The 26,451-nt window shown below is 38.5% G+C and overlaps 1 long non-coding RNA gene and 1 pseudogene across 1 annotated transcript in view; both read left to right on the forward strand.

Annotated features, from left to right (window-relative positions):
- LOC105377261 (uncharacterized) overlaps positions 1-26,451 on the forward strand; it is a 148,733-nt gene that overhangs the window by 78,860 nt on the left and 43,422 nt on the right. Inside the window, exon 2 of the long non-coding RNA XR_007058453.1 lies at positions 3,799-3,881. This is a non-coding gene — a long non-coding RNA (uncharacterized LOC105377261). The remainder of the gene's footprint in view (positions 1-3,798; positions 3,882-26,451) is intronic.
- On the forward strand, positions 12,010-12,626 carry IFITM3P1 (IFITM3 pseudogene 1; annotated as a pseudogene).

Below are 26,451 nucleotides of genomic sequence, written 5' to 3' on the forward strand. Positions count from 1 at the left end.
ATGAAGTACCAAGGTTGGAAGGGCAATGAAACTGAAACAGATACTCTGTGTAAAGGGTACTACCTACAAACATGTATCAAGCAGGAGGGTAGGCAATACTTTTACCATCTAACGGAGCATGGATTTTTTTTGTCCAAAAAAAAAAAAAAAGGTCGGTGAGAGACTTCTAAACTCTAGGAAACACACACACACAAAAGCTAATGAGAAAAATTTGGCTGTAATCTAAAGGAATAAGAGTTTGTGAGGACGTCTCAAGTTATAACTTTCCTAATTGTTATAGCTTGCAATTTTGTATCTGTGATGACAAGATAGAAGAGAAGTGAAGTTTTAAGGCTGATAACTAAAAATATAGAAACACTCTCACCTTAACTGGGTATAGGCTTCTTGTGTGCTGCAAACCCAAGCTGGAGAAGGAGGAAGGAATATGAATACCAACAAAAGCTTTGACCTTATTACAGAAAGATTGGGTATTTTAAATGTACTGTTGAGTCTTTTATTTTGCTACGTAAACTAACTATAGAAATTGTATGGTGTAGAACAAAAATGTATGGTCTTATTCATGTGTTTAATCTATGGCCAATGGAAGAACTAGCTCCACTGAATACAGAATAAACGAATAGTCAGATGAAAAAGTAAAGTTGTATCTGTCAGTGGCAAGCACATAGTACTCCATAATTACATTACTACTTATTTGCAGAGCTTAACAAACATTTGATACTAGCTACAAACTCTTGACGATTTTAGGATCCTGTGTATACTGGCATGCTTTACATACTTGATTCATAAACTCAGTGTTTTTAATGATATATGTTTCAGATTTTTTAGGTAGAAAATGAGGTTTATGATAAATCTAAAAATACTACTAAATAATGTTTCATGTGGGTGTTTGTGTGTTATGTGTTAAGCTACATTTTCTGTTAGAGTTTATTAAGTATAGCAGGTTTGTCATGTTAGTACTTTAATTCTAATGATGACAAATAGAATACATCTAATAAATACCATTAATCCTTTACATTAATGTGTTTGTCTTCTACTACTGTGTAGCAAATTACCAGAAATTTAGCAGCTTAAACAACACACATTTATTATCTCACAATTTCTGTAAATCAGGAGTCTGAACACAGTCAGCTGAGTCCTCTGCCCAGGATCTTACAATGCTGTAATCAAGGGGTTGGCTAGGCTGTATTCATATCTGAAGGCCCAGCTGGGGAAGAATTACTACCAAGCTCATCTGAGTTGCTAGCAGAATTAATATTCTTGCATTGTAGGACTGTTCAACCCAGCTTTTTCTAGCTATAAGCTGGAGGCCTTCCTCAACTTTTGTAGGGAACCTCAGCTCTTACACCACTTCTTTTCCACACTGTCTAGACTCACCCAGAGGTTGCCTGCTGTTGCCTGTTATGTAGGCTTCTCCAACATTGCCACTTCATTTAGTCAGCATGGAGAGTCTCAAAAGAAAGTGGGATAGCAGGACGGAGTCTTGTGTAATATAATAACAAGAGTGACATCTCATCTTTGACATATTCTATTCATTAGTTGCAGTCATAGGTCCTGCTTACGCTCAACTAAATGGAATTACAGAAGGGTGTGAAAAATAGAAAACAGAATCATAGGTGGTCACTGTAGGGTGAGGTGTCAGAGTCCCAGCAGTAGAGAGTGGTTGGCTTGTGGGTGGTAAAATATTTCACTGACAGCAATACAGGTTTGAAAAAAAGAAAAGCTTTATTAGATAGAAAGAATGCTGCGTCAGAGTTCAGAGGGGCACTTCGGCAAGGAGGACTGAGCACTCTGTGGTGGATTTTCCTTAGTGGTATTTATGGACTTTAAAATGGGAGTTTAAGGGTAATTTGGACCATGCTAGCATGTAGGTCATAATAAATGATTACGTTTGTAAACATTTTGATGCCTTGAGGTCAGCAAGGGTGACACAATGAGCTTTGACATGCATGCATTCCAGAAATTTATAGAAATTCTAGTTACTTATAAATTTTGGAGAAAGAAGTCTGGTACTAGATGCTCGCTGATACGTTTAAGCTTTGTGTCCCCACCTGATATGGTTTGGCTGTGTCCCCACCCACATCTTATCTTGAATTGTAGCTCCCATAATTCCAACGTGTTGTGGGAGGATCTGGTGGGAGATAATTCAATCATGGGGGCAGTTTCCCACATACTGTTCTCATGGTAGCGAATAAGTCTCATGAGGTCTGATGATTTTATAAGGGGTTTCCCCTTTCACTGATTCTGATTCTATCTTGTCTGCTGCCATGTAAGATGTGCCTTTCATCTTCTACCACGATTGTAAGACCTTGCCAGCCACATGGAACTATGCGTCCGTTAAACCTCTTTTTCTTGATAAACTACCCAGTATTGGGTATGTCTTTATCAGTAGCATGAAAATGGACTAATACACCACACAAATCTCATCTTGATTCGCTTTTTTTTTTTTTCCTTTTGTGACTGATGCCTGCTCTGTTACCTAGTCTGGAGTACAGTAGCATGATCTCAGCTCACTGTAACCTCTGCCTCCGAGGCTCAAGCAATTCTCATGCTTCAGCCTCCCAAGAAGCTGGGACTACAGGTGCAGGCCACCACACCTAGCTACTTTTTGTATTTTTAGTAGAGAGGGGGTTTTGCCATGTTGGCCAGGCTGGTCTGGAATTCCTGATCATCCTGAATTATAATCCCCATAATCCCCATGTGTCAAGGGAAAGACCAGGTAGAGCTAATTGGATCATTGGGGTGGTTTCCCCATGCTGTTCTCATGATAGTGAGTGAGTTTTCATGAGATCTGGTGGTTTTATAAGGGGCTCATCCCCCTTCACTTGCACCTCTCCTCTCCTTCCACCTTGTGAAGAAGGTGCCTTGCTTCCCCTTCATCTTCTGCCATGATTGTAAGTTTCCTGAGGCCTCCCCAGGCATGCTGAACTGTGAGTCAGTTAAACCTCTTTCCTTTATAAATTATGCAGTCTCTGGCAGCTATTTATAGCAGTATGAAAACAGACTAATACACCAGCTTTAGATAATAGGGACATCTAATTACTTATGAATTACTCAGATAAAGAGTTTTGCCACTTGATGGTCTGCTTGATGGCTACCAGGTGATCTTTCTTTTCCTCAGTCACCTTAGAGTCCATCTGCTACTTTTATGATTCATCAGTAGAGGCTTTGTTGTAAGCAGGAGAACTTCTTTATAATCGCAATAAAGGTACACAAATTTACATCATAAAAATAGGTAATAGCATAAATACAATACACTTATTGTACTTATTTAACTTCTGCAATTCATTTTATACAACGTTATAACCTTCTCACCAAAATTATGCTAGAATTTCTAATTATTTGTTAGATTTATCTAATTTTTACTGTAATGTATATGCAACACAGAATGTGCCATATTATTCATTTTAACTGCGGAATTGAGTGTCAGTAATTGCACTCATAATTGTATGCAACAATCACCAATATCTTTCTGTTTTTCTATCGATCTAATGTATTATACATATTATATGATAACTATATATATACACTAAAATATTTAGGTATACACACATACAAACATATTTTCACTGAGGTGTTCTTCATTTGAGTGAAAAAATGTCCCACTGATTTGAATGAAAAGGTTAGTTGCCTTTAGCTTAAGAGTATTAATATAGCTTTACAGTCTTACAGTTTATGGTATGGTCTTTGCAGTAATTAAATCATTAGAATTTTTATTTCTTAGCTTAGCCAGGTTTTTGTTGTCATATTCTTATAAATGTCCAAACTCATGTCTCTGAAGTTCTCATTCATTATTCTTAGCACTCTACCAGAACTACCAACTTCCTGATGAAGATATTTACAGCATACTAAATGTTGACTCTGAGATGCAATGGCTTTTCAAGGTAAAATAAAAATAACTATGAGAAAGTATAAATTTCATTGAACTTTTTATAAGAAACATTTTCTTCTGGTGAAAGATCAACATTCTCAGCAAGTAATATAATATTCAAAATTTTAAGTAATAAATGTGGAAAGCAATGTATAATATGTTATTTTTCTTAAATTATCCTAAAAATGACCAGAGTGTTTGCTCTTCTTAGGTGAACTAGGAAATTGGTTGTTCTTTGTATTGTTTGAATTTATTAAAGCATGTATATATAAATATGGTATATATGTACATATGGTATATCATATATATGCGGTAGTATACATGGTTTAATACATTCAAATATAAATTCAAATATATATCTATATAAATTGTTTATATATATTTGATTACTAAAATCCAGCTAATTTAAATGGAACAAAAATTATGTGTTTGATTTAGTGTCTATCACTTAAAAATAAATTTAATTTTTTTTTTTTTGAGATGGAGTCTCGCTCTGTTGCCCAGGCTGGAGTGCAGTGGTGAGATCTCGGCTCACTGCAAACTCTGTCTCCCAGGTTCATGCCATCCTCCTGCCACAGCTTCCCAAGTAGCTGGGACTACAGGTGCCCGCCACCATGCCCAGCTAATTTTTTTTTTTTTTGTATTTTTAGTAGAGATGGGGTTTCACTGTGTTAGCCAGGATGGTCTTGATCTCTTGACCTCAGCCTCCCAAAGTGCTGGGATTACAGGCATCCAGATTAAGGGTGGAAGTGCCTTCCCCAGCCCACTGACCCAAATGCTAATCTCCTTTGGCAACACCTTCAGAGACATATGCAAGATCAATATTCTGTATCCTTCAATTCAATCAAGTTGACACTCAGCATTAACCACCACAAGTTCACCTCTTGTGAACTTGAACCCCTAAACATCTCCTGAGATGCTATTACATAAAATTAACAACACTTAAATGCTGATATGAAGTCAGTAAATCTTATGTTGGCAGGGCGCGGTGGCTAAGGCCTGTAATCCCAGCACTTTGGCAGGCCAAGGCGGGCAGATCACCTAAGGTTGGGAGTTCGAGACCAGTCTGACCAACATGGAGAAACGCCATCTCTACTAAAAATACAAAATTAGCCGGGTCTGGTAGTGCATGCCTGTAATCCCAGCTACTCAGGAGGCTAAGGCAGGAGAATTGTTTGAACCAGGGAGGCAGAGGTTGTGGTGAGCCAAGATCGCACCATTGCACTCCAGCTTGGGCAACAAGAGCGAAACTCCATCTGAAAAAAATAAAAAATAAATCTTATGTCACATGATAAAGGAAACATGTTTTTAACAAAAGAAGGAAACACTCATGACAATTACAGTCCTGGTTTCTGCAGCTGGTCATGTGGTCGTAGCTGGTACTGATGACTACCTTCTTCTACTACCCTTCTGTATTCCCTTTGCCTTCAACAAGCACGTCAGTAGTTCGTGGTTTGTTCCTGGTGGAGTGACCCAAACCTTCATTCCTGAAGGGTCTGGGACATTTGTAGTCCTGCCTGGATTGTGCTGTTGTAATTTCCCATTGACCTTAGTCACTGGGCAGGGTAATGCTAAGAGATGCCCTAATGAATCTCGTGTATTCCATGTATACTCTTCCTTACCTCAATTGTGGAGTAGTAGACTAATTTATTCTTGATAGTCCAGGTCAATCACCCTGGCCGACACTGTAACAGTACAATATATTGGATGCTGATTCAGAGCATACACAGCCTTCGGAGAACTTTTCCCCAACCATGCAAAGTACTGTCACCTAGTTGGCATTGTAATTGTGACTTCAAAAGGCCATTCCACAGTTCTATCAATCCAGCTGCTTCAGGGTGATGGGGAATGTGGTGAGCCCACTGCTTTAGCCATAAAGTGAATGCCTTGGTCAGAGGCAATGCTGTGTGGAATACCATGACAGTGGATAAGGAATTCATGAGTCCACAGATGGTAGTCTTGGCAGAAGTATTGCGTGCAAGATAGGCAAACCCATATCTGGAGTAAATACTGTTCCAGTGAGGATAGACCTCTGCCCTTTCCATGATGGAGGAGATTCAATATAATCAACCTGCCACAAGGTAGCTGGCTGATCATCCCAAGGAATGGTGCCATATTGAGGGCTCAGTGTTGGTCTCTGCTGCTGGCAAATTGGACTATGGCCACTTTGCTCATGAGCCCATTGAGTGATGACAGGGGTGAGTGGGGAAAGAGGCTGAGTCGTGTCCACAAAATGAGTTATCCTATCCACTTGATTATTAAAATCCTCCTCTGCTGAGGTCAATCGTTGGTGAGCACTCACATGAGATACAAATATCTTCACAGTTTTTGACCACTCAGTGAAGTCCATCCACATACCTCTTCCCCAAATTTCTTTGTCATCAATTTTCCAATCATGCTCCTTCCAAGTCCCTGACCATCCAGCCAAACCATTGGCTACGGCCCATGAATAAGTATATAATTGCACATCTGGCCATTTCTCCTTCCATGCAAAGTGCATAACTAGGTGCACTACATGGAGTTCTGTCCACTGGGAAGATTTCCCTTCACTGCTGCTCTTTAGGGATGTCCTGGAAAGAGGCTGTAGTGGTGCAGCTGTCCACTTTTGGGTGGTACGTGCATATTGGGCAGAACCATCTGTGAATCAGGCCCTAGTCTTCTCTTCCTCTATCAACTGATCATAGGGAACTTCCCATGAGGCCATTGGTGCTGGCAGGGGGAGAGAAGGCAGGGTGGCAAGGGTGGAGACCATGGGCATTTGAGCCACTTCCTCATGTAACATACTTGTGCCTTCAGGACATGCTGGAGCCCAATCACATATATACCACTTCCATTTGAAGATAGAATGCTGCTATGCATGATCGATGTTATGCCTAGATGTGTCAGAAAGCACCCTGTTCATGATAGGCAGTTCAGGTCATATGGTGACTTGATGACCCGTAGTCAAACATTCAGTTTCCACCAAAGCCCAGTAACAGACCAAGAGCTGTCTCTCAAAATGAAAGTAGTTATCTTCAGAAGATGGCAGGGCCTAGCTCCAAAATCCTAGGGGCCTTCGTTGTGATTCAACTATGGGGGCTTGCCAAAGGCTCTAAACAACATACCTATCTGCAATTGACACCTCAAGCACCGTTGGACCTGCTGGGTCACCTAGCCCAGGTGGCAGAGCAGCTTACACAGCAGCCTGGACCTGTTGCATAGCCTTCTCCTCTTCTGGACCACACTCAAAACTGGCAGCCTTTCAGGTCACTCAATACATGGGCTGAAGTAACACACCTAAATAAGAAATGCGTTGCCTCCAAAATCCAAATAGGCCCACTAGGTACTGTGCCTCTTTTTGGTTGTAGGAGGGGCCAAATGCACTAACTTATCTTTCACCTTAGAAGGAATATCTCAACAGGCCCCACACCAGTGGACTCCTAGAAATTTTACTGAGTTAGAAGATCCCTGAATTTTATTCAGTTTTATTTCCCATCTTCTAACACACAAATGTCTCACCAATAAGTCCGGTGTGTTTGCTACTTTTTGCTCACTGAATCCAATCAGCATAATGCCATCAATGTCATGGACTAGTGTGATATCTTCCAGAAGCTACAAGTGATCAAGGTCTCTTCAAATAAGATTATGACACAAAGAAGGGGAGTTGATATATGCCTGAGATAGGACAGTAAAGATATATTGCTGGCCTTGCCAGCTGAAGGCAAATTGCTTCTGGAGGGCCTTATGGACAGGAATGGAGAAAAAGGCACTTTTCCAAGTCAATGGCTATATACCAGGTACCAGGAGATGTGTTAATTTGCTCAAGCAATGAAACCACATTTGGTACAGCAGCTGCAATTGGAGTCACCACTTGGTTAAGCTTGTGATAATCCACTGTCATTCTCCAAGATCCACCTGTCTTCTGCACAGGCCAAATGGGAGAGTTGAACAGGGTTGTGTTGGAAATCACCACCCCTGCATCTTTCATGTCATTGATGGTGTCACTAATCTCCTCAATCCCTCCAGAGATGCAATATTGCAATATTGTTTTTGATTTACTATTATTCTATGTAGAGGCAGCTCTAATGGCTTCTATTTGGCCTTTCCCAGCATAATAGCCCTCACCCTAGCGGTCAGGGAGCCATTGTGGGGGTTCTGCTGACTGCTAAGTATGTTCTTGCCAATTATGCATTCTAGCACCGGGGAAATGGCCATGGGATGAGACTGGGGACCAGCTGGATCCACTGTAAGTCAGACCAGAGATAAAACTCCATTAATTACCTGACCTCCATAAGCTTCTACTTTAACTGGAGAACCACAGTGATATTTTGGGTCCCCTGGAATCAATGTCAGCTCAAAGGCAGTGCCCAGTAGTCCCTGAAATGTCTGATCATTTCCCTTTCCCCAGTGCACAGTTACCCTGGTAAAAGGCCAGAGGTCTCCTTGGGGAAGGATGGGAGAAAGATTCACTTCATAAATGGTCTCTAATGTAGTAGGCTCCTTCCTCAATGGGACCTGGCATCCCTTTCATTCAAGGGGTTCTGGGTCTGTAAACTGGCTCATGTCTGGAAATTGACTGAGGGGATGTGATTCTCTGTTTTTATAATTCAAATTAATCTTCTGTCCATTCGACCTAGAATTTTTCTGCTTGTATAAATTAAGCAGTAATGCAGTAGGCTTCCTACCAATCTCACTTCTAGAAATAACATGATTAATTACCCAGTGCCAGAGTTCTACGTGAGTCAGACCATTCTGATTGCAGCTTTGCCTCTGCTGTCCATTACAGTAGCTATGCCCACATTGCCTTTGATGGTTGAGTGCCTCCGCCTGGACCCTGCCACCTCGGGATCCAATTATTCCCATTGTATTTAAATTTTGCAGTTGAGTGACTGTAGTTTCCACTGTTAGATCTGACATACAGAAAAGAACAATTACAGGGCTCTTCAAAGATGCAGGTGCTGTCCTCACAAATCTCTTTCACAAGGCATTGGTCAATTGTATATTTTCTGGACCCTCCCAGCTGGGATGAGTAGGTCTAAAGTGACTAATCCACTCTACCATCCCAATCTCCCTAAGCCTTTGGATCCCTTCCTCTACATTAAACCAAGGTAAATCAGGCATTTCTAGCTCACTCACAGTGTGCTATCTTGTAATCCATATTTCAGCTAACCAAGCAAATAAACTATTAGAATCTTTTTAACTTCCTCCCTAAGCTGCAACATTAAATGCAGAATGATTACTTAGTGTGCCCAAATCGATATATTCAGCCTGATCCAACTCTATGTTCCTTCCACCATTATCCCACATCCTTAATATCCATTCCCATGCCTATTCTCCAGATTTCTGCTCTCAAAAATTAAAAAACTCAAGCAGTTCTTTTCGAGTGCACCTCCTCATGGCTCACACTCTCAACCTCATTTCTAGAGGCACTCCAAAACTTTAGTCTAGTTATAAGTCTAGAAGCAAACACGGGTTTTGGAGGTGGCTGCTAAGGAGAATCAGCATTATCTTGCCTGGCAACTGCCTCAGTGGAGGCCATCACTGTTGCCTCAGGTGGTGCAGGGTTAATCTCCTCAGACAAAGGTAGAAAGGCTGATGGCAGCATGGGTTGGCGAGGGGATGTTGACACTACTGTGGATGGGGAAGCTGTTTCTTCCAGCAAAAAAAGATTCATCGAAATTTACAAACTCAGTGTCCCCAGCTTCATCAGGGTTCTCCCACACATACTCATTCCAAGTTGCAGGGTCCCATTCTTTTCCAACCAATGTCTTCACTGTAACAGTAGACACCTGGAGAGGCTGTGCATGCACCTTTTGTTGCAGGTCAGCCAGTCTCATGATAAGAGCTTATGTCTGGTTTTCCACAATTTCAGCTCTTTCTCTACAGGAGATAAGACTCTCACCCTGGGCAATCTTAGCAATTTGAGGCTCAGTGTCTTCTGAAGCCGGGAGATAGAATAACTGAGTTCATCATTTTTTTCCTCACTTTTCCACTGAACTTAGAAGCAACCAACCTGCTTCATTATGTTCTTTGGTTCTCCATATATGGTCAAAGGTATTATATATAGAGTCACTAAACTCCTTGCCTCTCATGAGTGATGAATCAGGAATGTCAAATACATTTATTTTGGATAACTCTCTAAATAGTCCACACCAAAAACTATCAGTGTTCTCCCTACTATTAGAAGTACAGTCCTTAGCATTTTTGGATCAAATGATATTAAGCAGCCAACTCCAGAAACCCCCAAACCAGTGAAAGTACTCCATCCTTAATATTCTGTTCCCCTAGAATCACTTCTGGCACCAAAATCTGGATTAGTCATGGTTCCATAGGGAAACAGAACTAATGTATATATATATATACATTATATATATATATAATGTGTATATGTGTATATATATATATATATATATATATATATATATATATATAAATTTGGATTGTGCTTATCTAGATTAAGGGTGGGTGTGCCTTCCCCAGTCCACTGACTCAAAAGTTAATCTCCTTTGGCAACACCCTCAGAGTCACACCCAGGATCAATACCTTCAATTCAATCAAGTTGACGCTCAATATTAACCATTGTAATGATATAAAAGTTTGGCACCAGATACAGTTCACAAAGACCTTGCTGATAAAACAGATTGTGGTAAAGAAGCTAGCTAAAACTCACCAAAACCAAGATGGCAACTTCTGGTAATCCTCACTGCTCATTATATGCTAATTAATTATAATTCATTAGCATGCTGAAAGACACTCCCATCATCTCCATAACAGTATATAGATGCCATGGCAATATCAGGAAGTTACCCTATATGGTCTAAAGCAAGGAGGGACCCTCAGTTCCTGGAACTGCACATCCCTTTTCAGGAAACTTATGAATACTCAACCTCTTGTTTAGCATATAATCAAGAAGTAACCATAAAAATAGCCAACCAGCAATACTTAGGGCTTCTCTGCCTACGTAGTAGCCATTCTTTATTGTTTTACTTTCTTAATAAACTTGCTTTCACTTTATGGATTTGCCTCTAATTCTTTCTTGCCCAATAGCAAAGAATCTCTCTTCTGGTCTGGATCTGGACCCCTTTCCAGTAACATATCTATACACACGCACACATACACAAACACACACATAAATATGTACATATATATGTGTGTGTACATGTGTGTGTATATATATGTGTGTATATATATGGAGAGAAAGGAGAGATGGATTGAGACAAAGATATTTGCAAAAGCATTCATTCAGTAAAGTACTGTAGATATATATATATAAGGTGTTTAGCAAAAGTAAGTATAGTCAACCCTCTCTATCTGCGGGTTCTGCATGCATGTATTCAACCAACTATGCAATAAAATATTTAAAAATAATTAAATGACAAATAACAATACAATATTTAACATACAAATAAAAATACAGTATAACAAATATTTACATAACATTTACATTGTATAAGGTATTATAGGTAACCTACAGATCATTTGAAGTATACAGGAGGATATGTGTAGGTTTGATGCAAATACTACATTTTTTAATATAAGAGACTTGTTCATCTGTAAAATTTTTCGTATTTGCAGGAGTCCTGGAACCAACCCCCGAGGATACCAGGGAAACACTGTAGTGTGTGCGTGTGTGTGTGCGCGCATGTATGTGTGTGTGCGTGTGTGTAGTTGCTCCCTACGTTTCTTTTACCATTTGAACATGAACTATCATTAGAGAAATTAGGCTCTGTCCAAATTATATAACACAAAATGTTTTTCTTACTTGTTACATAGATAAGATTAAAAGGTTCATGAACTGGAAAAGAAGAAAAAAAGGTGTGCACATGAGTTTAATGAGGAAAAGGCCTCTAACATTGCATGTGTTTCATGTCTTTTTTTAACATCACTGAGGGACTACCTTCTTGAGAAAACTAAATACAAATCTGGTGTTACTCTCCTGCTGGAGGCACAAACTATTTCTTTATCCTAGAAAAGGTACCTGTTCCCCTGAAAATTAATATGATTAGCCTGAAGACATAGTGAAAAATGACAACCACTTTATTAGGTTACTAAGATCATCTTTTCCTGTCTATTCAGAAAAACAAAGGTTTCAATAATTCAGAATTATAATCCACTAGTGATAAAAACAAATTAATCACTATTATCATTAAATATACAATATTAGGGCCCACTGAGAGCCATCCCAGTAACCCGACCACCGCTGGTCTTCACTGGACACCATGAACCACACTGTCCAACCTTCTCTCCTATCAACAGCGGCCAGCCCCCCAACTATGAGATGCTCAAGGAGGAGCATGAGGTGGCTGTGCTGGGGGTGGCCTACAACCCTGCTCCCCCGACGTCCACCGTGATCCACATCCGCAACGAGACCTCCGTGCCCGACCATGTTGTCTGGTCCCTGTTCAACACTCTCTTCATGAACCCCTGCTGCCTGGGCTTCATAGCATTCGCTTACTCCGTGAAGTCTAGGCACAGGAAGATGGTTGGCGACCTGACTGGCGCCCAGGCCTATGCCTCCACCGCCAAGTGCCTGAACATCTGGGCCCTGATTTTGGGCATCTTCATGACCATTCTGCTCATCATCATCCCAGTGTTGATCTTCCAAGCCTATCAATAGATCAGGAGGCATCATTGAGGCCAGGAGCTCTGCCCATGACCTGTATCCCATGTACTCCACCTTCCATTCCTCACCCTGCCCCCGGAGCCGAGTCCTGTGTCAGCCCTTTATCCTCACACACTTTTCTACAACGGCATTCAATAAAGTGCACGTGTTTCTGGTAAAAAATAAATAAATAAATAAATAAATAAATAAATAAAAATATACAGTATTACACACTTACCCTTATATGATATCCACATTTCCAAAAATATTCAGTTGCATCCTCCTCTTTGCTCACTCATGTTTAAGTTTTTCCTATAGCAAATTAAAAGGGAAAGATACAGGAAAAGAGAGAAAGAGGGAGTGCGAGCAAGTGAGCAAATCAAATGAAAAACTGTTGGATAAGTTTCTGCTATCCTAGATGATGTAATAAAACCCGGAGGTGAGTCACAGGGCTTAGGTTTAACCTATTTCCTTCATACGTGATATAATTATTGGTGTTTTTTTCTTTTTCTTTCTTTTTTTTTTTTTTTTACCAATTTCTGCCCAGTAGCATAGACGAAAAGACTAAAGAAAGTGGTGACTCCTGAATCTCAATAGAGTACTGGCACCACTTCCCTACGAATTACTAAAAAAGAATGAGAAGAGAATCAGAGAGAAGGTATAAATTTGAAATTTTGCCCTTTATGTCATGGTGATGTGACAACTAATATCTCTGCACAAATCAGCATCTGAGACTTTAAGTAAACAGACCAATATCTTTATGGGAAGGAGAGGAAAATCATTTTTCCTGCTTAGTCAAATGACAAATAAATGTAGCTAATTTATAATTCATCCATGATACAAATTTACAGACCTTTGGCTCTGAAAAAATGTGCTTTTTACATTTCCATAGTGATAGTTAACCTCAGAACACTCTATGATGGTAATGTGATATTTTTTGAGTAATGTAACATGAAAAATACATTTTTTTGGTCAATAGTCTTCAAAGATAGTATTCTTTACCTAATAGTGCTGCTTCTTTTTGCTTGTATCTTGGCCTTGGAGCATCAGAATTTATGTAAAATTGTCACGTTTCACCATTACCTTCATTTGTGCTTAAGTGCACACACACACACACATTCACGAAAGATTGTGTTACTTTTCTTGCCAAAATAAGAATGACATCTTTGTTGAATTTTTCTTTATAAAGTTAAAATTGCATTGCAATAGATACTGTTCCTAAATATGGCTTGCATTTTTCCACGGGTCTTTTCTTTCAATTAAGGAAACATTGCTATAAGATGAAAATATAAGATGCCCAGCCTAAAATCATGTATTTACATTATATATGCTTTATGTATCTCCAAACTTTTTAGTTATTAAAAAATTAATGTTCTTTTACATAGTGAATGGACACAGAGATATTCATAGGAACATTATTTAGATTAGCTAAGCAAACTTCTGAAAGAAAATTGAAAACCATGTTAATGTATAATCATGGAAAATTGATTAAATGATGCAATTTGTGGCTTATTCATAAACAGGCTCATAAAGTCATTTTAAAATACATTTAAAATGTTATTATTAGAACTGTTTACACTTTATATTAAGTTAAAAATTAGGATACCAAATTATATGTGCAAAATACTCTCGGTCATGTAAAATATTGTGCATATAGACAGAAATTTGCCAAAAGTCAGTTAGTTGCGGTCACTGAGTGTGGTTGTTTAGATGGATTTAATTTTTAAAATACATTTTTTCAGCATTTTGTAATGTGCATATTTTGTTCTCATAATCAACTCTTTCTAAACTGCATCTTTTAAGCATATTTTAAAAAGCAATTTAACTGTACAGTTTTTACAAAATGTTACAAGTTAAATGATTAAGCACTTATAATTTTGAGAAGTTTGTACTGTAGAACACTCTGATAATTTTGTCAAATTAAGCTCTGTATTAGCAGAAAAGGGTGAAAGTGCAAAAACTTTCATAAGGATGATTTTAATTTCTACGACATTTTATGCTATGTTCTGACATGTTGTATTTCAGTCTTCCATTTTGATGAAACACTCTGTTGTTCTTTGCTTTTTCATGTAATCTCACCAGAAAAATAAAAAATAGTATAGCCTCTTTTTTTTAAATCACACTTGATGTATATATTTGTCAGATGTAGAATTGTAAGTGCTTTAACTCTCTCCTATTAACCACTCTGAAATCCACTGCATCCAGGAATTAGGTTCAGGTAATAGCCTGCTGACACCTAAGGTAAAATTCAGTCATTGTGTATGCATGTCAAAATCTATTAAAGCAATTGAATGAAGAGCTTACACTACAAAGCTTAATTAAACACATAGATTTTCACCTAGCTTATTTTAAAAGTATGACTTTATCTAAATGATGGAAAAAGAGTTTCCATTGAAATTATCTTTTACATTGTCTCCAATACATATTAGAGAATTTTCCTGTGGTCTGCAGCTATACCATTTATTATATTGATGTTTATGAAAAGATTCTTTTTTTAACTATATTCACCTTACATTTGGGTCGAAATTCACGGTAATTTGAAACCTACAAATAACTGTAAATGACTCTCTTTTGCCAAGTACTCAACAACATTTGTATGAACACAGAAATGAGCTTTGATACTGAGCAAATTCAACTTGGAGAGGTAGTTTAGGTAATTTGTTTCATTGATGTCTCATGACAACCATTATGAGTACTCAGCATAATCAAGTTCCTGTTTTATAGTATAGCCCTGAAAAAGTCAATAGAAAATTGAGATTAAACAAATTTTGGGGCAGTGCTTACTTTCATGTGCTAGTCTGTTAGTAAACGTTTATTTCATGAATATGCATTGTGTGCATACTACATACCATTGTAGGTGCTAGCTGAAGTAATCTAAAGTACACAATGGTTCTGCCCTCCCAGTGTTTATCATTGAATGCCAGTGACAGGCAAGTAAGTCATTCGCAAACACTGAACTAAATTTAATGACGAAGGAACTATAGGCTTTTATGTTAGCACGTCAGGGGAGATCTTGGCATAGACTTTATGGAAATGGAAAGGTATCCTTGAGGACATTATGTCTATTTTTAATCATACAGAATATGTAAGCTTGGCCAATAGTTACGAATGGGAGGATGGAACAATAGTCAAAAAATTTCTGTCAGAGGAAAGAGCATATATAAAGAGAGAGAAAAGCATTTTATGGGATTCAAAATAGACAGAAATGGCCAAGATGCAGAGTGAAAGGGAAATAGTAAGAATTTAGTCATCATTTAAAAATATATTTTATATTGTATAATGTTTAAGTTATATAATATTTGAAAATTAAATATTTTAACATCTGCAAAGTTACTTTCCAAAATACACTATTCAAGTATCTAAATTTTTTTGTTAAATGCTAGGCAAAATGCTGTACTACTTCTTTTGCTTGTAAAATAATTGAAGTCAGGGAAGGTATCTCCCTGCCTCAGTCAGTTTGGGCTGCTAGAGCAGAATACCATAAATTAAGTGTTTTAAAAGTCAGCCATTTCTGTCTCACAGTTTTGGAGTCTGGGGAGTCCAAAATCATGGTGTCAACAGTTTTAGTGCCTGGTGACATCATGTCTCCTGGTTTGCAGATGGCCTTCCTCTTGTATCTTCACATGTTGGAGAGCAGGAAGACAGCAAGCTCTTTTTCTTCAAACAGAAGTCTCTTTTTTAAAAAGGCACTGTATTAGATCATTCTTGCACTACTATTAAGAAATACAGGAGACTAAGTAATTTATAAAGAAATAAAGTTTAATTGGCTCACGGTTTTGCAGGCTGTACAGGAAGCGTGATGCTAGAATCTGCTTAGCTTCTGAGAAGGCCTCAGGAAACTTACAATCATGGTGGAAGGGAAAAGAGGAGCTGGCACTTCGCATGGCCAGAGTAGGAGAGTGAGAGTGGGGAGGAGCCACAAACTTTTAAACAACCAAAGCTAGTGAGAATTCTATCAGGAGAACAGTTCTAGAAGCATGGTGCTAAATCATTAGAAACTGCCCCCATGATCCAGTGACCTCACGCTAGGCCCCACCTCCAGCACTGGTGATTACAATTCAACATGAGATTTGGGTGGGAACACAGATCCAAACCAGACCAGGCACCAATTTCATTCTTGAGGGCAACATCTTCACGATTTAATTATCTCCCAATGAGCTGCCTTCAAATACCATAATCTTGGGTGTTAGGGTTTCAACATATAAATCTTCAGAGGATAATCTGAAAATGTCTCACAGTTTTGGAATCTGGGATGTCCAAAATCATGGTGTCAACAGTTTTAGTACCTGGTGACATCATGTCTCCTGGTCTTCAGATGGCCTTCCTCTTGTATCAGCCCATAATTCCTCCACTTGTCAAAGACAATTATGCCTAGTAAATATCAAAACCAGAGTTTGAAACCAGATTATCTGAGTAAACTGGTTATTATTTATTAAGGTGTCCACTTCTTTCAAAAACAAAGCAAAACTAAACAAAACACACGGATAACTATTCATATTTAATTTATATTGAAAACTAAGTATCTTGGCTTTGATTTAAATTACCTAATCATAACACTAGAACATTAAAGTTTTAACTCACTTTATTTTTATAACTGCTCCCAACTTGACTTTCAAAGCTGTAAATTCCCTGTGGAATTATAAAATTTATTTTTGCCAAGTTAAAGTCTTTAGTTACTTCTAATTTAAATCACAGTGTCCTTTGGTCAATATAGAAATCCAAGTTTCATAAACTTTTCTTTTGCCTTCCTTATTTTCAGAGTGAAACCTAGGTTTACAAAGCTTACTTATAAACCTGACATCTGCAGCAATTTTTCTAAATTATACAGCATTACATTGGTCTGTTGGCTTGTGCTGTTGTGGAGTATAGTTTATTTTATTTGATGTTTTGTTGTCAAACCGTGACTCTACTTGACCCCATAGTTGACTAACGAGTTTCTATCATGACCTCTAGTATCCCTAATCACTAGGCCTGTAATTCTTTATTTTATTTTTATTAGATTTTTTTTTTTTATTTTTTGGTATGTGGCATCTCAATTACTCTTCCTAAAATTTTAAAAAGCTCCTTCTCATTTCTTGGACAATGGGCCTCTCTAAAACCACCTCAACCCTATATAGGTAGACATTTCACTCCTTTCTTATTTCTGGAATATCACAAAGAACATGAATTTCTGCTAAATGGTTTACTGTATACCTTTCCTACCACCTGGCAAATGAGTTAAATTCACCCTGGACTTTGGATTCACCACAGATTACTCCAAATTCTGTTGTTTCCAAATCACTTCGGGAATAAGACCTGAGGAACTACAGAGACTGGAAAGTCCCTATTAGTGAATAAATTTTCTTTTTTTTTTTATTCCTTTGCTTAAATCTTAGTTCAAAGTTCAGAAATGGTACATATTTCCTGTCTGTTTGAAGTTTAAAAGACTTTTAAAAATAATCTTGGCCGGGTGCGGTGGCTCACGCCTGTAATCCCAGCACTTTGGGAGGCCGAGGCGGGCGGATCAAGAGGTCAAGAGATGGAGACCATCCTGGCTAACACGGTGAAACTCCGTCTCTACTAAAAATAGAAAAAAAATTAGCTGGGCGCGGCGGCGGGCGCCGGTGGTTTCAGCTACTCGGGAGGCTGAGGCAGGAGAATGGCGAGAACCCGGGAGGCAGAGCTTGCAGTGAGCCGAGATTGCACCACTGCACTCCAGCCTCGGCGACAGAGCGAGACTCCATCTGAAATAAATAAATAAATAAATAATTTAAAAAAAAAAAATTTTATGCAATCAGGAACACATTCTCAATCTGTTTCTTAATCATATTCTACATTTTCCAGAGTTTGTGGTCTTGCTACTCCAAACCAATATTTCTAAAATTTAAAACACATTTTTTTTTCTTTCTCAAGCATCTGGTTCTTTAAAATAGAAACACTAGCTTTTGTAGACTCTGTATTTGCAGATATTAAAAAAATCAACTCATATATTCAAGTGACTTTGTTCTGATTTGTATCTGACCAGCATCACAAAGAAATGAATACCAATGAATTATTAAGTGTAAAAATGAGAATAACGGTAAAAATGAAGAAATAAATATATATATATGACTTCATATAATGAATAGTAGCACAAGTTCAAAAATTTGTTTTTTTCTATATGTTGATGACTAGTTAGATACATTACATTAGGCTATGCATATTTTTAAGCATTTTGCATAAAAAATAACTCAAATAAATAGACAGTTAGACCTAAATATGACCCAATAAAACTCAATGCTAAAAGTGGATAGGCAACATTTAGGTTAGAGTAAAAACATAATGAAACCTAAATTAATAGTCAAAAACTGGAAAAACAATTAAAATTGAGTCTGTTTCATTTGCTGATAAATTTCTTTTATTTCTTTTTTTCTCTTTAAAATCCCTATATTGATTAAAGGCTGCTAGGAATTCTAGGAAGAGATGAAATATTCAACTAATAGGTCTGCATTTAAATGTTCTTTAATTATTAAGTCCATTTGCTTTATAACTTTCAGATACAATATAATTTGAGCTAGTGTGATTTTGGGTTTTAACTAATAGAAACCTAAGGGGTCTGAAACAGACCATTACTGGCAGGGATTCAGTGGTCTATCGGTATCAGAGTCAGTATCTCTGTAATGTTCATAGCCTGTCTTTGTCAGCTGTCACCTCATGGTTACAGAGTATTGTGTTCTAGAAGTCACATTTATATTCAAGGCAGAAAAAAAGCAGAAAGAGATCTTGTTCTAGGTATGGCTCAACTGTAATAATCAAAGGAGAAAGTTTCTAGAGCATCTTTCTTTCCAGCAGATTACTGCTTAAATTTAACAAAGTTTAGACCAGAACTAGGTCACATGGCCATTTCTAGCTGCTATCATGGTGGGAAAAATAGAAACATTATTGTCATAATGGACCTAATTTTATCATAATCCCCTGCTTGGGGCTAGAAACATTTTGTCAGGGTTCTGTTAAACTAAAAATTAGGGGAGAATGGGCATGAAGCCAAAAACAGAGTCTGACACAAGACTATCAAGACTATCATTTGATTCTGACTGTAAATTTGAAATAAAATTTCTCTTCTAATTATATAAATTGATGTGTTATGTCCTGTTATATAAATGAGAATGATATGATTTGGCTGTGTCCCCACCCAAATTTCATCTTGAACTGTAGCTCCCATAATTCCCACGTGTTGTGGGAGGGATCCGGTGAGAGATAATTGAATCATGAGGGTGGTTTCCCCCACACTGTTCTTGGGGTAGTGAATAAGTCTCACGAGATCTGATGGTTTTGTAAGGGAAAACCCCTTTTGCTTGGCCTGCATTCTCTCTTGTCTGCTGCCATGTAAGGTATGAGTTTCGCCTTCTGCCATGACTGTGAGGCCTCCCCATCTATGTGGAATTGTGAGTCCTTTCTCTTTTTCTTTATAAATTACCCAGTCTCAGCTATGCCTTTATCAGCAGCATAAGAACAGACTAATACAGTAAATTGGTACCAGGCTATGGGGCACAAGCTGTAAAGATGTCTGAAAATGTAGAAGCAACTTTGGAACTGGGTAACATGCAGAGGTTTGAACAGTTTGGAGGGCCCTGAGAAAGGAAAAAATGATGTGGGAAAGTTTGGACTTCCTAGAGTCTTGGAGAGCTCAGAAGATAGAAAGATGTAAGAAAATTTGCAACTTCCTTGAAATTTGTTGAACGGCTTTGATCAAAATGCTGATAATGATATGGACAATGAAATCCAGGCTGCAGTGGTGTCAGGTGGAGGCGAAGAATTTGTTGGGAACTGGAGTAAAAGTGACACTTGCTATATTTTAGCAAAGAGACTGGCGATATTTTGCCCCTGCCCTAGAGATATGTGGAACTTTGAACTTGAGATAGATGATTTGGGGTATCCAGTGGAAGAAATTTCTAAGCAGCAAAGCATTCAAGAGGAAACAAAGTATAAATGTTTGGAAAATTTGCAGCCTAAAGATGCGATAGAAAGAAAAAACCCATTTACTGAGGAGAAATTCAAACTGGCCATGGAGATTTGCATAAGTAATGAGGAGCCAAATATTAACCACCAAGACAATGGGGAAAATGTCTCTAGAGCATGTCAGGAGTCTTCAAGGCAGCCCCTCTCATCACATGCTCAGAGGCCTAAGAAGAAAAAATGGTTTCTTGGTCTGGGCCCAGGGCCCCCCTGCTATGTGCAGCTTAGGGACTTGGTGCCCTGCATCCCAGATGCTCCAGCCATGGCTAAAAGGGGCCAAGGTACAGCTTGGACCATGGCTTCAGAGGGTGCAAGCCCCAAGCCTTGGCAGATTCCATGTAGTGTTGAGCTTGAGAGTGAACAGAAGTCAAAAATTGAGGTTTGGGAACCTCCATGTAGATTTCAGAGGATGTATGGAAATGCCTGGATACCTGGGCAGAAGTTTGCTGCAGGAGCGTGGCCCTTATTGAGAACCTCTTCTAGAGCAGTGCGGAAGGGAAATGTGGGGTTGGAGCCCCGACACAGAGTCCCTACTGGGGCACTGCCCAGTGGAGCTCTGAGAAGAAGGCCACCATCCTCTAAGCCCCAGAAAACGGTAGATCCACCAACATCTGGCACCGTGCACCTAGATAAACCACAGACACTCAATGCCAGCCCATGAAATCAGCCAGGAGAAGGGCTATACATTGCCAAGGCACAGGGGAGGAGCTTCCCAAAGCTGTAGGAGCCCACCTCTTGTATCAGTGCACCCTGGATGTGAGACATGGAGTCAATGGAGATCATTTAGGAGTTTTAAGATTTGACTGCGCCACTGCGTTTTGGACTTGCAGGGGGCCTTTAACCTTTTCATCTTGGTGAATTTCTCCCATTTTGAATAAGTGTGTTTATTCAATGCCAGTACCCCCAATGTATCTAGGAAGTAACTAACTTACTTTTGATTTTACAGGCTCATCGGCAGAAAGGACTTCGCTTGTCTCAAATGAGTCTTTGGGTTGTGGACTGTTGAGTTAATGCTGAAATGAGTTAAAACTTTGGTGGACGGTTGGGAAGGCATGATTGGTTTTGAAATAAGAGGGCATGAGATTCAGGAGAGGCTGGGGCAAAATGGTATGGTTTGGCTGTGTCCCCACCCAAATCTCATCTTGAATTATAGCTCCCATAATCCCTTTGTGTTGTGGGAGAGAACCAGTGGAAGATAATTGAATTATGGAGGTGGTTTCTCTCCCACAGCTCTCGTGGTAAGAGAGCTGATGGTTTTATAAGGGGAAACCCCTTTTGCTTGGCCTCTCATTCTCTCTTGTCTGCTGCCATGTAAGATGTGTGTTTCACCTTCCGCCATGATTGTGAGGCCTTCCCAGCCACGTGGAACTGTGAGTCCATTAAACCTCTTTTTCTTTATAAATGACCCATTCTCAGGTATGTCTTTATCAGCAGCATGAGAATAAACTAATACAGAGAGATATAACATAAAGTCATATATGTTTTTTTGAAACATCAAATTCAGTGCCTAAGTATCACTTACTCAATCCAAAGAGTCAGTCTTTTTTACCTGTGGATGACAACTTAGAAACCCAGCAGTTTTAAAAATCAGCCAATGAGCCATATTTGCCACCAAACATCCACTGGCATTAGCAAATGACACTACCATCTAAAACTGGCTTTCAAATAAAATAAAAACAGTGCTGTTCACTACAAGAAGTATTATAGTTTTCAATGCCTTGATTGTTACAGCAGCATATCCTGCAGTAGTAGCTGCAGTCTTTATGTGTGTTGTAGTAGAAGAACATAAGACACTCTTTAAGTGTTATCCTTAACCAGTGACATATCAAAACATAAACCATTCCAGTAACCCTATCATCAAATACAGAAGTAATTGTCTTATGCTAGTAAAGTTGTCCATGTTTTCAAGAACAGTGTTTTATAAAATGTTTTTGAAGGGCCACCTGCATTAAGAATTTAGAATTCAGTCACAGAATGCCTGTGTATGGAATTTTACATTTTTAGTGAACACACCAGGGGATTCTCATGCACTCTGAAATCAGAGAACCACTCTTCTAGAGTGTAGCAGATTAAATAGTGGCTGGATTCAAAATGTGTGTTCAGGCAGAACCTTGACAAATGACATTATTTGAAGTAAGAAGAGTCTTTACAGATGTCATTAAGGTTAGGGTCTTGAGATGAGATATCCTGAGTTAGAATGTGCCTGGAATCCCATGGTCGGTGTTTTTATAAGTGACAGAAAAGGAAAAGACAGACACAGAGAGAAGAAAGACATATGAAGATAGAGGCAGAGATTGAAGTTATCAAGTGTGTAAGCCAAGGAATGTCAAGAATTGCCAGGAGCCCTCAGAAGCTTGGATAAAATGATGAAACAGATTCTAAGAGAATATGTTTCTGTTGTTTTAAGCTGTGAAGTCTGTGGCAATTTGTTATGGCATCCTTAGGTAGCTAATACATATGGTAATGTTTGCTATCTTAAGTCATTGGCTTTTCAAACTTGAGCAATGGAATAACCTGCATAATTCATTAATTTCTTTTTCTTTCTTTCTTTCTTTTTTTTTGTTTTTTTAGACAGAGTTTTGCTCTTGTTGCCCAGGCTGGTGTGCAATGGTGTGATCTTGGCTCACCACAACCCCTGCCTCCCAGGTTCAAGTGATTCTCCTGCTGCAGCCTCCCGAGTAGCTGGGGTTACAGACATGCATGACCACGCCCAGCTAATTTTTTGTATTTTTAGTAGAGATGAGGTTTCTCCATGTTGGTCAGGCTGGTCTCAAACTCCTGACTTCAGGTGATCTGCCTGCCCCGGCCTCCCAAAGCGCTGGGATTACAGGCGTGAGCCACCAAGCCCAGCCGGGTTAATTTCTAAATTAGAAGCATCTCTGATGGACCCCTCATGGGACTACCTGAAGTCTCGAACTACATCACAGTTCAACTTCTCCCTTTTGTCAGTCTTCTATCCTAATGTCTTACTGGTACTGTTCTTGAGAGCATTCCTAAATATACCATGTGTGATTTTTGGAAGTTGGTAGCAGTCTGGTTTCTAGAAAGCAGACCCTAAAATGATACCTTACAGCTAAATCACCTACAGGCAAGCAGGAAATGAGGATCCCATCACAGGTGAAAGGTAGAGTACCACATCCCATTGGCTTGCTGTTGGACTACAATTATTAAATTTTCAACAATGCTGATGCAAAATGAGAAGGGCTACTGTGGAAAGGATTGAACTGGCAGATGTATTTTCTCAGACTTTGAAAGGTGGAGGAGGTGATTATTATGAGACTATTTCCTGGGAAATAGTGAATGGCTTTGCTGATTGATCAGGACTTGGGAGAAGAAAGATTAAACACTGTGGGACAAGGAGCTCTGGTAAAGAGGCAAGCAGATGGAGTTATGAGAGAGATATGACTTTTATATGGTGCTGTATCCCTAATTAGGTAGACTACATATGTCTGGAATCAAGTTGTTCCAATTACAATAGCCCTTAGTAGCCTCACTTCAGTGACTTACCTAAATAATTTGAGCGTCCTGACCCTAAAACTGCAGTCCCAGATCTTGTGATTCTCAGAGGTTGAATATTTGCGGAAGGCTGACTAAACTTAACCTACGGCTGCCACGTGGCCCTTTGGGGTTCGTTGTGCATACGTCAAAGCCAATAAAATGAGGTATGCTGCCAAGAATAATTGTTGTTGGTAATCAGGAATAGGTAGGGTTGGTCTGATACAATAGAGGCAGAGAAGACAGTGTTTGCCAAATTAATCCCCTGGAGCATCTAGTTGACTTGCTCTGCCTAATTTTGATGGTATGTGAGCAAGCACAACATCAAAGATCTCAGAAGGACATGAAAAATCAAAGGGCTCAAACCTCTCAGGTATGCAAATCTGGGTCACCTTGATAGGTAAGCTACCCAAATCAGCCAGGATTCTAGGCAACAATGAAACAAATTTAAAATATGTATCAGAAGGAGGCAAACAATAATTTAAAAAATAGTTGCAGCTGTGAAATTAGCTGTGGCTATATGAACTTATTTTTTCCCCATTAACCTTCCGCTTATAAGTTGTCCAGAAACAATACCAGCCAGAGTCTTGGAGAGTATGTTCCCAAATAGAGTAAACATACCATGCAAAGCACATGGATTCTAACTAGTCAGGGGGTGGTATGCAGTGGATGCTGTAGCTTTGCCCTAGATTCACATTCAATCCTGGAAGGCAGCTCACAGGTGAGACTCTCAAGGAACTCCCTCATTGAAAGGCTTCTGTCATAGTTAAAACTTCTCTTAGGGCCAGCCCCCTTCCCAAAATTGGTCCTCACAGAGGTTCAAAGACCCAATCTTCTTGTCCCAATTTGGGATATCTCTGAAGTGCCATCAGCTAAGGTCTGTGTTGCAGGTGCATTGTAGTTCAAATTCTTCCTCTGCCTCATCCTGCTTCTCTCACTCATAGGTATTCTAGATAAGGCATAACAGAAATTATCAATGTGTACCTTTTAATTAAACAATGACTTTACTTAAGACCTGAATATCTTTTAAACTTTTTCTTTCCTGAAAATTTCTTATCCTTTTAAAAAGTATTTTCATTTACTCTCAGGTATACACATACCTAGTTTGAAGAAACTGATATACTCCACCAACTGTTCAAAGCTCTTTAAATTTTCAATCCTTATTATAACTCATTTTTTTGAGAAACAAGTCAATAGAACACTTATATTAAAGATAGAATTAGTCCTGAAAAATAATTTGTTCATGATTTTAGATGCTTTATCAGATGTGACAATTTATGTACTTGCCTATGCCTTCCATTAAATGTCAGACATTTTAATTTTATTCAGTTTACATCCACCTCTCACAACACCCGCCTTCTAATAATTAGTCAATATCCATTCAAAAATTAATATATGAAAAAATATGTACATAAGAAATATGCATGCTAATGAACAAGATTATGTTTGAAGTAAAATTACCGGTGAAAAAAATACAAATATGGTAAGATTCCAGGAACCTGTTTTTATAGTCCAAATTCTTTGTTCTTGCTTTTAGAGAAAGTGTAAGTTTGTTTCCAAATCAGGCATCAGGGTGATATTAAGTATGACTGGAATCTCACTAGGCAGATGTGCAGTCACTGTAAATGCTGATAGTGTTCCTGTTTAGTACAGAACGTTTATAATTTTTCATGTAATCAATGACAACCTGTGACAGATTTCTTCCAAATAAAGGTCAAATTTCATATTAGTCTGTCATAATTGATCTTTACACAAAAGTAGAAAAGTTCCAAGAATTTCTGTAGAAATATGTTTTCGTTCTATTTATTTTTCAAATGCAGAATATTTTCTACATATAGTTTAAAAAATTTATGCTCTTATTCTTTCAACATCAAAGCAACACCTTCTCAAAATAAGTTATTTTTGTAAAAATAGTTCAGGGATGCCTTATAATTTATATGCTATTTTAATGAAGATGTCTAATGTTTTTGGAGAATTAGCATAACATGAATTAAGTCAGTCAACCCTGGAACTAAAGATGATAGTTATCTTCAGCACTGTAGTAAATGATTATAGATCATCTGGGGCAATTGTTTTCAACAAGAGGTAATTTTTCCCTCAAGGGAAATTTTGACAATGTCTAGAGACATAGTTTGCTTGTTATGACTAGGAGGATGCTATTAACATTTAGTGAGTGGAGGCCAGGGATCCTGCTAAACATCTCATAATGCACAGGAGAGGCCCCCAAAATAAAGAATTATTGAGCCTGAAATGGTAGCAGCATACTGACTGAGAAGCCCTAATCTAAAATAATCTCAGTATTTTAGGCAACATTCGGATACACTTTCTGGAGAAACATTTTAGTTTTCAAATGCTTCAAAGATGGATTCTACAACTTCAGAAATCAGAATGTTATTATATTGCCTTCTTAATAACAAAGAATTTGGGCAGTACATAAATTCTCCATAATTGTTTTAGAAAAGAGTTTAATTGAAATGAGTTTATGATTTCAGAGTTATTTAAATACGTTATTTATTTTGAGAAGAAAAATAAA

Source organism: Homo sapiens, chromosome 4, assembly GCF_000001405.40.
Source record: "Homo sapiens chromosome 4, GRCh38.p14 Primary Assembly".
Classification (NCBI taxonomy): domain Eukaryota; kingdom Metazoa; phylum Chordata; class Mammalia; order Primates; family Hominidae; genus Homo; species Homo sapiens.